At 41.0% G+C, this 15990-nt stretch overlaps 1 long non-coding RNA gene across 1 annotated transcript in view; it reads right to left on the bottom strand.

The window, feature by feature from the left end:
- Positions 1 to 15990, bottom strand: part of SPANXA2-OT1 (SPANXA2 overlapping transcript 1) — a 147091-nt gene that overhangs the window by 112816 nt on the left and 18285 nt on the right. The gene's annotated exons all lie outside the window — the stretch shown is intronic.

Raw genomic sequence — 15990 nt, 5'->3', positions numbered from 1 at the left:
AAAAACAAATACTAGTTGTTAATACCTTCAAAACACATTTCCTGTGTTTTTGTTTTTTTTTTTTTTTGAGACGGAGTTTCGCTCCTGTTGCCCAGGCTGGAGTGCAATGGCGGGATCTTGGCTCACCGCAACCTCTGCCTCCCGGGTTCACGTGTTTCTCCTGCCTCAGCCCCGAGTAGCTGGGATTACAGGCATGTGCCACCATGGCCGGCTAATTTTGTATTTTTAGTAGAGACGAGGCTTTTCCATGTTGGTCAGGCTGGTCTCAACTCCTGACCTCAGGTGATCCACCCGCCTCAGCCTCCCAAAGTGCTGGGATTACAGGCGTGAGCCACCACGCCCAGCCCAGAATACATTTTCAAATCAAATAATGTCCAATATCATTTTTTTTAAACAAGGTCTCCCTCTGTTGCTCACGCTGGCGTGCAGTGGTGTGATCTCAGTTCACTGCGGCCTCACCTCCAGGGCTTATGAAATCCTTCCACCTCAGTCTCTGAGCAGCTGAGGCTACAGGTGCATGCCACCATGCCCAGCTAATTATGTGTAGTGGTTATTATTATTATTATTATTATTATTATTATTAATTATTTTTGTAGAAACAAGGTCTCACTATGTTGCCTAGGTTCTTCTGGAACTTCTTAGCTCAAGAGATCCTCCTGCCTCAGCCTCCCAAAGTGCTGGGATTACAGGTGTGTGCCACCATCTCCAGCCTAAGATAATTTTAGAAGAAGATTAATGAGAGGAAGTTATATCCTACCAGATATTAAAACCTTATAATCATGTATTTAACGAGGTAATTACACAAGTATATGTAGATGTAAAGATGTGCCATAGGGAGTGCTCACAAAGATTCTATGTGTTTCCCTATATTTTATAGCCTGTTTTATAATCAGATTGAGATGGTCTCAAAATTGACTAGCTCTGGGCAGGCAGTGAACCGGGTGCAGAAAACATACACATCATTTTAAGGTTGAGGCAGTTATGCCCTCATGTGGCTTCTTCATTCTCTTCTTCTGTCACAGTGACCTTGACAACCATGAGTTGACAAGGAAATGAACAAGATGGAGGAAGCCTGGCTCCATAAGGTATTGGATGCAAGAGTCTCTGCTCACCCAGATAGAAGTTTCATTCATCAGAAAACAAACCTTTGTTATGTTAAATCACTGAGATTTTATTTTGTGATTGTCGTGGAGTCAGCACGGCCTAGCATTACTCTTACGAATACAAACACCAATAAAAAGATATTAGTATTTATCTACTGTTAAAAATAAACTAGTAGAAAGAGAATGTACTATTCACTAAATGGAAAACTATTTTAACCATTTCCACAACAAACTGTAGGCAAACTAGGAAAATGTATAATTTTTAAAGTATGCATAAAAGAGCTATCAAAACTAATAACTATATAGGAAAGATTTCTTTTTTAGTTCACTTTCTTTTTCTTCTACCAACTTTGTGTCTTTTTCTTCTTTCCTTTTTTTTATCTTTTTGAGACGAATGCTCGCTCTGTCACCAGGCTGGAGCGCAGTGGCACGATCTCGGCTCACTGCAACCTCTGCCTCCCAGGTTCAAGCAATTCTCCTGCCTCAGCCTCCCGAGTAGCTGGGATTACAGGCACATGCCACCACGCCCAGCTCATTTTTGTATTTTTAGTAGAGACAGGGCTTCAGCATGTTGGCCAGGTTGGTCCCGAACTCTTGACCTCAGGTGATCCACCCACCTCGGCATCCCAAAGTGCTAGGATTACAGGCGTGAGCCACCGTTATATCTTTTTATGCAATGATTGCTAATTCCTATGCATTTATGCAATGCCTTCCTATGGTAGATAGCAATGATGGCCATATTATTTTACCCCTTCCTGAATCTACCCTTACATGATTTTGCTTTTCCTCTTATGACTTGCTTTGGCCAATAGAATGCAATAGAGTTTCAACGTGTCCATTCCAAGCCTAGTTTTCCATGACTCGTTGTGTGCATCCTCTTGCTTGCTGTTGTCCTCTGCTGTTAACTTGAAAACATGCCCAAGCTAACACGCTTGTCTCAGAAAAAGAGTAAGAGACGAGGAGCAGAGCCCGTCATCAGGTATGTGAGCAAGCTCAGGTAAACCCAGAGTACATCAACTGAACCTCACAGACACATGAGAAATTATTGGGTATTGTTACATGCCACTGGTTTTACAGTAGTTGGTTACACAGCAATATTGTGGAAGTAGATAATTGATACTTATTCCACAAGAAAACCTGGGCACAATGATACTTTATAGGGATTATACTCTTACAATACATGTACAAAGAGATAATTTTATGGGTATTATCCGTTCATTGGAGGAAGGAGGATGTCCGCCAGAGTGAGATTTTATTGCCACAGCCTCTTCAGCATGCAATTTCAGAACATATAGAATCAATTTCTCAGTTTACTGACTGCTGAGTAAGACCTTGGGAGAAATTAAGACTAGAAATGAGGGCGGGATAAATATTTCACTTCAGGCTGGTGGGTTTCTCAAGCAGCAAAGTGTTTCAAATCTGCTGCCAATAGCAGTTTTTTTTTCAGTACTGTTAGTAGAAACTCTTCCCATCTTCTGGCAAAAGGTTGGATGTTAGCTTTACTTTGAATTATGTTAAGGATTCCATCCCCTCTCTGAATCTCTCTTGTATTTTGGTGTGAACATAGGAGATGCTGAGAATGCAGGATGACTGCCTTAAATTGGAAGCCTCAGATTATGGCACTCATGAGGAAACGGTTGAATAAAAATAATTCAGATGGGAGGGACTGGGCAAGAATCTTCTCTAGATGGAGGGTGCAAAAATGGGAAGACGGGAATCTACATGGAAACTACAAAGAAATTAAGGGAACAGAAATACATCTGCTCTTCAGGATAAACAACAAATCAAAGAATATGAAATAATACTGTTTTAATCAGAAGATATTCATAATGGAGGACCTGAACTCATCCGTATTTGGCTAAATCCCAAACTCAGGAACTCAGTCCAAGGAACACCATAGAAATGCAATTAATATAACTGCATTTCTCTATTTTTTAAATTGGTATTCAAAACATTCTTTTCAATGATCCTGCAACTGTGCGATTTTCAATCCCCATGTCTGACCATGCCATGTCCTTGCTCAAAATCATTCATTTCCTCCAGTGCTTATAAAATAATGCCCACAACTCTTTTTTTTTTAAAATGTTTTCCAGTTTTTTTTATATTTTGGTGGGTACACAGTAGTTGTGTATATTTATAGAGTACATGAGATGTTTTGATACAGGCATGCAATGTGAAATAAGCACATCATGGAGAACAGGGCACATCACGGAGACCAGGGTATCGATCTTCTGAAACATTTAGACCTTGAGTTACAAATAATCCAATTACACTCCTTAACTTATTTCAAAATGTGCAATTAAATTATTATTGACTGTAGTCATCCTATCATGCTATCAAATAGTAGGTTTTATTTACTTTTTCTATTTTGTGTACCCATTAACAATCCCAGCCTCCACCATCATCCCCCACTACCCTTTCCAGCCTCTGTTAACCACCTTTCTACTCTCTATGCCCATGATTTTAATTCATTTGACTTTTAGATCCCACAAATCAGTGAGAACATGCAATGTCTGTCTTTCTGTGCCTAGCTTATTTTGCTGAACATAATGATCTCCAGTTCCATCGATGTTGTTCCAAATGACTGGATCTCATTCTTTTTTATGGCTGAATAGAACTCCCCTGAGTCTATGTACCACATTTTCTTTCTCCATTCATCTGTTGATGGACACAGGTTGCTTCCAAATCTTAGCTATTGTACATAGTGTTGCAACAAACACAGTAGTGCAGATATCTCTTCAATATACTGATCTCCCTTTTTTTGGGTGTGTATACCCAGCAGTGGGATTGCTGGATCATACGGTACCTCATTTTAGTTTTTTGAGAAACCTCCAAACTGTTCTCCATAGTGATTGTGCTAATTTATATTCCCACCAATAGTGTGGAAGGGTTCCCTTTTCTCCATATCCTCGCCAGCATTTGTTATTGCCTGTCCTTTTGATGTAAGTCATTTTAACTGGGGTGAGAAATCTCACTGTAGATTTGATTTGCATTTCTCTGATGATCAATGATGTTCAGCACCTTTTCAAATGCCTATTTGCCATAGTATGTCTTACGAGAAATGTCTATTCAAATATTTTGCCCATTCTTCGATCAAATTATTACATTTTTTTCCCCTACAGAGTTATTTGAGCATCTTACATATTCTGGATATTAATCCCTTGTCAGACGGGTACTTTGAAAATAATTTATCCCAGTCTGTGGGTTGTTTCTTTACTTTTTTTACTGTATCCATGTTGCCCAGGACAGGTCCGGAAATGCCATTCAAGAGTCAAGTCCCAGGCCAGGCACAGTGGCTCATGCCTATAATCCCAGCACTTTGGAAGGCTGAGGCAGGTGGATTGCTTGAGCTCAGGAGTTCAAGAGCAGCCTGGGCAACATGGTGAAACCCCCTCTCTACCAAAAATACAAAAACTTAGCTGGGTGAGATGGTGCGCATCTGTGGTCCCAGCTACTTGGGAGGCTGAAGTTGGAGGATCGCTTGAGCCCGGGGCAGAGGTCGCAGTAAGCTGAGATCATATCACTGCACTCCAGCCTGGGTGATAGAGTGAGGAGTGAGACTCTACCTCAAAAAAAAAAAAAAAAATTCAAAGATTCAAGTCCTGGAATGGGGGGCCCCAGGAGCCCACTTGGCTCTCTAACCCCCTATATTGGTGCTGGTACCTAAAGTGCAAGACAAGGTCCCCTCTGCCTTTCCCTCTGCACTTCTCAAGCAGAAGGAGTTTTGTCCCATAGCCACCACAACTAGTAATATGCTGAGTCTTACCTAAAGCCAGCAAGTCTCAGAGGCTCACCAAGGCCCTAAACATAGTACCTGGGTATCACTGTTCATTATTCAGGGCCCAAGGGCTCTTCAATTAGCAAATAATGAATGCTGTCAGGACCGGGTCCTTTGTTTCAAGGTAGCTTGTTCCCTTCCGGTCCAAGTGTGCTTAGAAATGTCATCTGGGGCTAGAGCCTGGAACAGGGGCCTCTTGATTCCAACCATTGCCCTGTCTTGCTGTGGCTGAGCTGGTATCCCAGATGCAAGCCAAAGTCCTACTCACTCTTCCTTGTCTTCTCTTCAAGTGGAAGGAAGGGGTCTCTTTCGAAGTTGAGCTGTGCAGCCTGGGGTCAGGGGAGTGGCGATGCCAACACCCCCTTGCCTGCCCCAGCTGATGTCTTGGTATGCTGCGTGTCTCTCTAGTCCACAGTCTCTGGGCCTAATTCAAGACTACGACTTGGCTATGAGTTGCAGACCTTATGGATTAGACTGCCTTTCATGTTTACTTAGGGACCAAGAGCAGTTTGGCTTTCAGTGGTGAGGCTTCCGAGCACTCGAGTTCAGAGAGCTGGGATTGGCGATTCCCCTCTGGCTAGAGCTAGTGTAAATGCTCCTTCTGTGTCATCTGAGTTTGGTCTAGTTTTCCTTCCTGATTTAACAGGATGCCACTTAGTTCAATGCCTCACAGTTGCTGTGTTCTCCTTCTCAGCTCCCAGAAAGTCTCTCTGTACCATGCAGCTGCTACCCAGGGTGGAAGAGGGGTCACGTAGGCGATTCTGGACATTTTTTTCTATCTCTTCATTGCCTCTTTCAGCCATATGAAGTTAAGCCAGGTACTATGAGTGCCCATCTAATTTTTGGTTCTTATAAAGGTGTTTTTATCTGTGTAGTGGTGGTTAACCTGATGTCCTTGTGCAGGGGACGAATGGTGGAGCCTTCTATTCTGCAATCTTGCTCCACCTCTCCCTGTCGACAGCTCTTGCCATCACATTGTGCATCTTTCACATCTGCAGTATTTCCCATTAGAGTTCCCTTGAAACTCTAAAGTAATTTTACAAAGTTCATTTTACTAATCCTGACTGAGTATCAATTCAAATGGGAGTATCAGCTGTCCCACTAACTTGGCTCCTACTTTTGCCTTATTCCCTTTCTTACATTCTTCCTTCTGCCTTTAATGCTTTACTCGCTTCTCTTTCTTCCCATGTTCAAGTATTTCCTGAAGCTTTCCTTCATGCCTCTAGCCTGTCTTCTCTGAATTCTACTGGCACTTCTTATATGTTCTTTGTTTTGAAGTTGTTATTTGTATCTGTATGTGGCATCTACTCCTGAACTATTAGCTTCTTTCCAGTTTTGCTCTTGTTGCCCAGGCTGGAGTATAATGACGCGATCTTGGCTCACCACGACCTCTGCCTCCCGGATTCAAGTGATTCTCCTGCCTCAGCCTCCCGAGTAGCTGGGATTACAGGCGCCCACCACCACACCACGCCCAGCTAATTTTTGTATTTTTAGTAGAGACGGGGTTTCACCATGTTGGCCAGGCTGGTCTCAAACTCCTGACCTCGTGATCCACCCACCTTGGCCTCCCGAAGTTCTGGGATTACAGGCTTGAGCCACCGAGCCCGGCCTATTAGCTTCTTAGTGAAAGGAACTAAGTGTGAAAAAGTCAAAGAATTCGTTAATGTACAGAAACAAGCAATTTGTACTCCTTGAGGAGCTCAAAGTACTCAACAGCGTTTCCAGTCCTCTCCATCGTTACGGGAAACAGATGAGAGAACGTGGCTTTGGGGAACATGCATAGGCGAATAAACATAATGGGGCTTGAAACACGAATGAAGAGGAAAAATAAAGTGTGTTGAATGATCTCCTTAAAAGACTCCTTTCTTTCTTGGTACCTTCTACCCAGCCTAGTTCCTCTTTATCTCCCATTTGAAAGCATGGGTGCCAGATTAGAACTTTCTCTCACATAGGTCAGCAGAAACACATAGAGTATTATTAGATGGATTCCATGGAGTAATAAACTAAGGCCCCAAGTTATGACAGGTTCTCCATGTCACCTGGTCATATTGTAACCGAGCGAGTTATAGAGAAATGCCACACTACAAGATTAATTCACGAGTCCTTTATTGCCGGCGACTGAGACACAGCTAGAGCTCAAAATTCTCTCGGCCCCGAAGAAGGAGCTAGATTTCTTTTGATACCTTGGTCTAAATAGGGGAGGGGGAGTTTAGCCGAAGCGATTTTTACAGAAGCAGAACAGGCAAAAAGTTAAAAAGATTAATGGTTACAGAAACAGTTACAGAAAAATAAACAGTTCCAGGTGCAGGGGCTTAAACTATCACAGAGAGATAATGCAGGGGCTTCGGGTACCACCCACCGAGCGCATCCCCAGGAGCTGCTGGTTCAGTTTGCCTCTATCTCTTATCAGTAAGTGCATTCCTGGACGTGCTTGGAGTCAGCTTGCACTAGTTATGTCCTTGAGGGAGGGGGATAAGGGGGACTGCGAGTGAAGAAACAAAAATGGAGTCTGTCCAGCTCTCTCAGCTAAGAGAGACAATCAGGTTAAAATAAGGTAAGGCATCACAGTAAGCCATCACTATGCCTCAAAGCCCTCATCTTCTCATCTGAACCGAGACTCTTCATGTGAGAAGCTGGGTATATTCTAATGCAAAATCAAAGTTAAAATTCCAAGAAGGGTGATAATCAAAGAGTTTAATTTTGTAGACAGGGGAGAGAGAAAACTGAGAGATGAGAATATTTTATTTATTAGATAAGGATGACAGAAGAGTGGTTCTTTGCAGGTTCCAGAAACCTACGTTAGCATATTCAAGAAAAAGAATAATCAGCATCAGAGGGTAGACACATGCAAAATAAAATCCTGACTAAAGCAGCAGCTTATTTGCCACTTTAGAAATGGACATTCTAACTGCCTAGTAGACCAGCAACACAGAGTCGCATAACAGTACCACAGTATGTCTGAGCTGAAAATTATTCAGTCATCACATTAAACCTTCTCATTTTATGATGGAAAAAAAAATGAGGTAAGGAGGCCGAGCGCAGTGCGGTGGCCCACGCCTGTAATCCCAGCACTTTGGGAGGCCGAGGCGGGCAGATCACCTGAGGTCAGGAGTTCGAGATCAGCCTGGCCAACATGGCAAAACCCCATCTCTACTAAAAATACAAAAATTAGCCAGGTGTGGTGGTGGCCGCCTGTAATCTCACCTACTGGGGAGGCTGAGGCAGGGAGAATTGCTTGAACCCGGGAGGCGGAGGTTGCGGTGAGCCGAGACCACACCATTGCACTCCAGCCTGGGCGAGAGAGCAAGATTCTGTCCACCCCCGCCCCCCCAAAAAAAAAAAATGACATAAGGAAAGAGGATGTGTTTTGTGCAAGATCGCAGAGCTAGTTGGGGCGGAGTTGGAAATAAAACTCGTTATTTCTGAATCTCAAGCCAATGAATTACAACGGTAAGTCATTACTAATTCGATAAACATTTATGGAGCACTAAATATGAGTCAAACACAATAAGTCACAAATAGTCAAATGTGACCTGGGGCCTGCCTACAGCACACTGACACTGGCATTTTTCTGACGGAGGACCAGCAGCTGACTAGCTTTTCTGGAGTAGCCCAAGTCTTTCTTGAAATCCTCTCTAACAGAGATAATAACAGCAAAAAGCTTCTTATCAACTGGTCCTTTAAATCATTTAAAAATCTATTTTCTCTATCCAAGTGCTGATTCATAGAAATATAACATAAGCTAGTTATTTCATTTAGAGTTTCCTAATAGCCATAATAAAAACATAAAATAGTTGAGATTATTTTAATTCATGTTTGATTTAACCCAATATATCTAACATATTGTCATTTCCTATGTATTTGATATACAATGTATTAACGTCATATTATCCATTATCTTATTTGTACTAAGTCTTCAAAATCCAGCATGCATGTTACATTTGCAGCACATTCCTATTGCAACTGGCCACGTGACAAATGTGCAATCGTTTGCGGCCAGTTGCTACTATAGTAGACGACACAGCTTCATATCATCTATTACGTTAGTCCCTGGTGTATTTCTGAACAAGCAATTAAAATGCAACCAAAACATGTTATATTTATAAAACATATTATATTTAACACAGTAAATTACAACAGGTGGAAAATTCCTTTTCAGATAGATTCTTAGGAACTTCAATTAAGTGTACTTCTTTCTTTAGTTATTCTATGTCATGCCTGAACATGCTAGGTCACTGGAAAGCTTAAATGAAAAGAAGCAAGAAGAACATTAAAGTAAAATGTTATATGAAACCCCGGAAATTTTTAGTGATTTGTGGTCTTCACTTATTCCAAGTCTTTAGAATTGAGATTAAACATTATCTTCTCAGTGGTAAGTCAGAACAGAGAACAACACGAATGGAGCCACTTCTCTGGTAACACATCAGGGAATCATCTGTCCATTTAAATTACGGGTTTTTTTCTATATCACTGTCAAGACTAGATTTTCATAAAAGGAAGATCATTTTACATGGAAGGAATTGCTAAACAGGCTAGAGGTTCGAAATCCATTACCTATTCATCACCTAGTTAATAGATGTTCATCCTCTATAACCTTCAAGAAACTCTGCCACAAAATTCAAAGGCAACATACAGGTCATATTTCTGAACCTAGTGCTACAAAATATGGCTGGACAATATTACAGAATCCTCCAAATTAAAACTTTCTAGAAAATCCAAAATCTATGGTCACACTAGCTCTAAGTCAATGAAATGCTACAGTAAATTTTGGATCCCAGGAAAAAGCAGCCTAACATTATAGTAGCTACCAGAAGGTACTTTCTGCAAAATTGTTAAACACCGTCCTCTTAGGGGTCCATTTTTCTATCACTCTAAAGAATAAATGCTTTGGGGAAAATGAGCTATTTTTATGGTTTGGCTGTGTCTCCACCCAAATCTCATCTTGAATTGTAGCTCCCATACTTTTTTTTTCTTTTTTTTCTTTGAGATGGAGTCTCGCTCTGTCACCCAGGCTGGAGTGCAGTGGCACAATCTCAGCTCACTGCAACATCCGTCTCCCAGGTTCAAGCGATTCTCCTGCCTCCGCCTACTGAGTAGCTGGGATTACAGGCACGTGCCACCACACCTGGCTAACTTTCGTATTTTTAGTAGAGACGGAATTTTGCCACGTTGGCCAGGCTGGTCTCGAACTCCTGACCTCAGGTGATCCGCCCGCCTTGGCCTCCCAAAGTGCTGGGGTGAGCCACCGCACCCAGCCAGCTTCCATCATTTCTACGTGTTGTGGGAGGGAGCCAGTGGGAGATAATTGAATCACGGGGGCTGTTTCCCCCATACTGTTCTCATAGAGATCTGACGGTTTTATAAGGGGTCTTCCCTTTTGCTTGATTCTCATATGCTCTTCGCCTGCCACCATGTAAGATGTCCCTTTGCTCTTCCTTCATCTTCCACCATGATTGTGAGGCCTCCCCAGCCATGTGGAGCTGTGAGTCCATTCAACCTCTTTCCTTTATAAATTACCAAGTCTCAGGTCTGTCTTTATTAAAAAGATGAGAATAGACTAATACTGGTATGAACACTGGATATTTCATTATTGTTTGTTTTCATTTATGTTGCTTCCTGCATTGACACTTGACAAAGTATCACTTTTCTTTTCCTGAAGAGTTGTAAAATATTTTATTTCATTTCCAGCTCTCTGGGGGTAAAAAAAATATTACTTTACCTCTATTTTGCCTGCAATTTAAAACTCTCCTGCTCTAATTATTAAGAAGATAAACAATTAAAGTTTATATGTAATTTAGTTTATGATAACTGAAATCATATGGGTTTTAAGGCAATGTCAGGAAATTTATTTTCTCAGAAGTTTATTTAATTTATTTATTTTTAGATGGAGTCTCGATCTGCATCCCAGGCTGCAGTGCAGTGGCACAATCTCGGCTCAGCACAACCTCCGCTTCCCGGGTTCAAGCGATTCCTGCCTCAGCCTCCCGAGTAGCTGGGATTACAGGCACCCGCCACCATGCCCAACTAATTTTTGTATTTTTAGTAGAGATTAAAATTTCTACTATGTTGTTTCACCATGTTGGCCAGGCTGGTCTCGAACTCCTGACCTCAGGTGATCCGCCCGCCTCGGCTGCCCAAAGTGCTGGAATAACAGGCATGAGCCACCACGCCTGGCCCCAGAAGTTTACTTTCAAATAGTGTTATCTTCAAGTTTCCAAATATGAGTGTCTGCAGTTGTTTGGGGGCAGAAAACTGTCAATCACAAATTCTACAAATACTTACTACTATGACCTGGAGGCATTTACAAATTGGAGGGGTTATGTGAGGAATTGTTGATGGAATCAGGAAAAAGGCTGTGGGAAGATGCCGCCTTTAACATATATCTGTGCAACCCTCACCTCCCAATTCTAATCCAACTACAAGTCTACTCTATTTACGAGACTGCCGCTGAGGCAGAAAGATCTATGAAACTCCAAGACTATAAAAACTAAGCCCCGTGTGTGCTGGGGTCCTCACAAAATTAGAGGATGACTGTGTAGCTATCTGCTGAGACTAGAGCTTCATGATCTGCCAGTCAGGGGTGAGAAGCTGCTAGAAAGAGTTTAGCCAGAGAATATCTGTGAGTCCTCCTGCAGGATGGGAAGTGGTGTCCCTAGCTCCCACTGTGCTACGGAAGTTTATAAGATGCTTTGAGCCTTCTATACGCCTAATGGGACAGAGTGGAAATTTTTGCAACTGAGACCAGAGGGCAGAAATACATTATACGAGTATCGCCACAGAGGACTAGTGACCTGCACAGGGATAAAGACTACCATGCCACATGACACAATCACGATTACCAGTGCTTAAGGTACCGTATAGCTTGATCTGAGCTCTGATAATAAATATATCCATGACTAAGCAAAGGAAAGTAAGAATTCCTTTAAGACGACCCATTGTCAAGTAAAGAATGAAAAAGCAAGAGAACAAGTTACTAGTGAAATGAAGCTGCTGGCAGAGATGGATGACAATAAAAATACGTTAATAAAAAAACACTTAAAGAAATTCAGCCAGGCACAGTGGCTCACGCCTGTAATCCCAACACCTTGGGAGGCCGAGGTGGGCGGATCACAAGGTCAGGAGTTCGAGACCAGCCTGGCCAACATGGTGAAACCTCGTCTCTACTAACGAAATGCAAAAATTAGCCCGGCATGGTAGCGTGTGCCTGTAATCCCACCTACTCGGGAGGCTGAGGCAGGAGAATTGCTTGAACCCGGGAGGCAGAGGTTGCAGTGAGCCGAGATCACACCACTGCACTCCAGCCTGCGCAGCAGAGCAAGACTCTGTTCCCCCCCCAAAAAAAAAACAAAGAAATTCAATTACGGCATTAAAAGATTCTGAAAAATAAAAATATCAGTTGTGAATTAAAACATTTAAACGATGAAATGAGACGGGATAATACTTCCCAAACACAAATTACATCCTTGGAAGATCAAGTAGAAGAAAAATCTCAAAAGATAAATGATGATGGGAAAACTTCACCTCCACATGCAAAAAAATAAGACTAGGTCCCTACATCTCATCATATACAAAGATCAACTCAAAATGGATTAAAGGCTTAAATGCAAGACCTGAAACTGTGGAACTACTAGAAGAAAACAGTGAAAACGCTTCAGGACATTGGTCTAGGCAAGGATTTTTTGGATAAGAACTCAAAAGCACAGGCAACAACGGCAAAAACAGACTAACGGGATTAAGTCAAACTCAAAAGCTTCTGCACAGGAAAAGAAACAATCAACAGAGCAAAGCTACAACCTACAGAATGGGAGAAATACTTGCAAACAATGTTCTGATAAGGGATATAATGTATATCTGGAATTTATAAGGAATTCAAAGAATTCAGTAACAAAAAAATAAATACTTTGATTTAAAAATGGGCAAAATATCTGAATAGACATTTCTCACAAGAAAACATACAAATGACCAACAGGTATATGAAAAAATGCTGAACGTTACACTAATTATTAGGGAAATGCAAATCAGAATCACAATAAGATCATCTCACACCTTTTAGAATGGCTATTATGAAAAAGACCAAAAAACCCCACAAATGTTGGTGTCTATGTGGTGAAAGGCGACCTTTTATATGCTGCTGATGAGCGTGTAAATTAGTACAGCCATTACGGCCAATAGTATAAAGGTTCTCCAAAATGTTACAAATGGAACTACTGTATGATCCAGCAATCCCAGTACTGGGTATATATCCAAAGGAGATAGAATCATTATGTCCAAGACATACCTGCATTCTCATGTTTATTGCAGTACCATTTACAGTAGCCAAGATATAGAATCAACCTAAGTGTTCATCAGTGAATGAATGCATAAAGAAAATGTGGTGCATGTACACAATGGAATACTATTCAACCATAACAAATAACAAAAACCTGTCTTTTGCAACAACACGGATGAACCTAGAGGACATTATTTTAAGTGAAATAAGCCAGACACAGATGGACAAATACTGCATAACCTCACTTATATGTGGAATCTTAAAAACGCTGATCTCATAAAAGTAGAGAGCAGTTACCAGTTGCTGAGGAGGGTACTGGGGAGGAGAGATAGGGTGAGGTTGGTCAATGAGTATGTCACAGTTAGCCAGGAGAAAAACGTTCTGGTACTTTATAGTGCACCATGGTGAATACAGTTAGCAATAACGTGTTGTATATTTCAAAATAGCTAGAAAAGAGGATTTTGAATATTCTTATCACAAAAAAAATGGTTAAGATTACGGATATGCTAATTACCCTGATTTTACTTCTTTTATTTCCTTTTGTCTTTTCTTTTTTTTTTTGAGACAGTCTCTCGCTCTGTCACCAGGCTGGAGTGCAGTGGTGCAATCTTGGCTGACTGTAACCTCTGCGTCCCGGGTTCAAGTGATTCTCCTGCCTCAGCCTCTCGAGTAACTGGGACTACAGGCGCGTGCCACCACGCCCAGCTGATTTTTGTATTTTCAGTAGAGACGGGGTTTCACCATGTTGGCCAGGATGGTCTCAATCTCTTGACCTCCTGATCTGCCTGCCTTGGCCTCCCAAAATGCTGGGATTACAGGAGTGAGCCACCGGGCTCGGCCCCCGATTTGATTTCTAAACAATGTATACATGTATTGAAACATTACATTGTACTTCACAAATATGTACAATTATATGTCCATTAAAAATAAAATAAAACTAAAGTAAGATATGTAAATCTGGCTAGAAAAGCTGAGGAACTTTGAGCATAGACCCTGAAATTAATAGGGGTTCCAGAAAGAGAAAAATCAACAGATGAAGAAGTAATCATTAAGGAAATAATTGAACAGAGTGTACCTATTGAAAATAACATGGGGGTTTCCAGAAGGGACTCATTAAGGAATATACAGCTAGGTATATACTGATCTTAAAAAAAAATAGAAAATGAGTATAGCATCTGGAGAGGGAAGTAACTTTTTAAAAAATTAAATTAATACTGGACTTGTCATCTGTAATACCAAAAACTAGAAGTTGGAGGCTAAGGGGCAAACCACTGTGAAAAAAACAAAGTGTGACCCCCAAATCCAGGCAAGATATACATAGTGCCCATAGATCTCTTTGAGTAATATTTTCAAGAAAAGACTAATGGACACCGATCAAACATCTAATAAACTCTGCCAAAGCCTTAAGAGAGGAAACAATGATGAAAGGAAAGAAACAGAGGTGACAATAAATACTGAAATATAGATAAGTAAATCTAAATGCAATATGCCATTGTGACTGTGAATGTGTAGTATACATGAAAGAGAAAAGATACACTACAAAAGAAATCTAATCACAACCTGGAACTAAAAATATTATCGCAGGAAAGTTGAAGGGAGGATAACAATAGGAGCAAAATCCAAATTCCAAACCAGGTGAAAGATGGGAAAGAAGGAAAAAAATAAACGAAAATAGAAGGATAAATAGAAAACATAGACTATGATGACAGATGTAAGTCCCAATATGACACTAACTATAATAAATGTAAATAGATTAAACTCTAGAACCAGTTTCCACAAACTGTGACCTGAGGGCCCAACAGAATATAAAATGTCATAGGGACCCCACCTGTTTACATATTGTCTATAAATGTTTTTATCCTATAATGGCAGAGTTGAGTAGTTGGAAAACATACCATATGGCCCACAATGCTGAAAATATTTCACTATCTGGCCTTGTACAGAGGAAGCTTACAACATCTGTTTTAGAATCATAAAAAGAGATTCAATGATTGGATTATTTTAAGAAACACATATATGCCAAGATATTATCTAGAGCAACTGCATTTAGAGCAAAAAGATACAGTGATTCAAAAATAAAAATACAGGAAAATGTAAACTGAGCAAATGTGAACCAGAAAAAAAAAGCAGACGTAAAAACTTTTCATTTCAAGAAAAGGTCATTATGTACCAGTAAATGGTCAAGAGGGATCGAGGGAAATACACAATGACTATGAGCATGTATGCACTCAATAATATAGCTTTCAAATAAAGCATGTGGCTGAACTATGCAGCCAAATAATTAAGCTGATAAATGTACTTGGGAGATTTTAATGCAACCCTCTCAGACACTGGTAGTTCAAGCAGATAAAACTTAAACGAGTGTAATCAACTGTAGATTTGTTTACATTTAAAATTTATATTCGGCAAACGAAATACATACTTCATTTTATTTTTTTATTTTTAAGACGGAGTTTCGCTCCTGTTGCCCAGGCTGAAATGCAATGGTGAGATCTCGGCTCACTGAAACCTCCGCCTCCCAGGTTGAACCGATTCTCCTGCCTCAGCCTCCCAAGTAGCTGGAATTACAGACACGCGCCACCACGGCCGGCTAATTTTTCTATTTTTAGTAGACATGGGGTTTTCACCATGTTGATCAGGCTGGATGGTCTTGAACTCCTGACCTCAGGTCATCCACCCATCTCAGCCTCTCAAAGCTCTGGGATTACAGGCTTGAGCCACCGTGCCCGGTCTCATTTTCAAGCACACAAGGAATATTCTCATTAACTATACTAGGCTGTTTCACAGTATGTATCAAATGCCTTAAAATTACACAAATCCTTTAAACCAGCAACTTCTCT

Source organism: Homo sapiens, chromosome X (genome assembly GCF_000001405.40).
Source record: "Homo sapiens chromosome X, GRCh38.p14 Primary Assembly".
Taxonomy (NCBI): domain Eukaryota; kingdom Metazoa; phylum Chordata; class Mammalia; order Primates; family Hominidae; genus Homo; species Homo sapiens.
The sequence above is the reverse complement of the archived record's forward strand: the minus strand, read 5'-3'. Positions and strand labels throughout refer to the sequence as shown.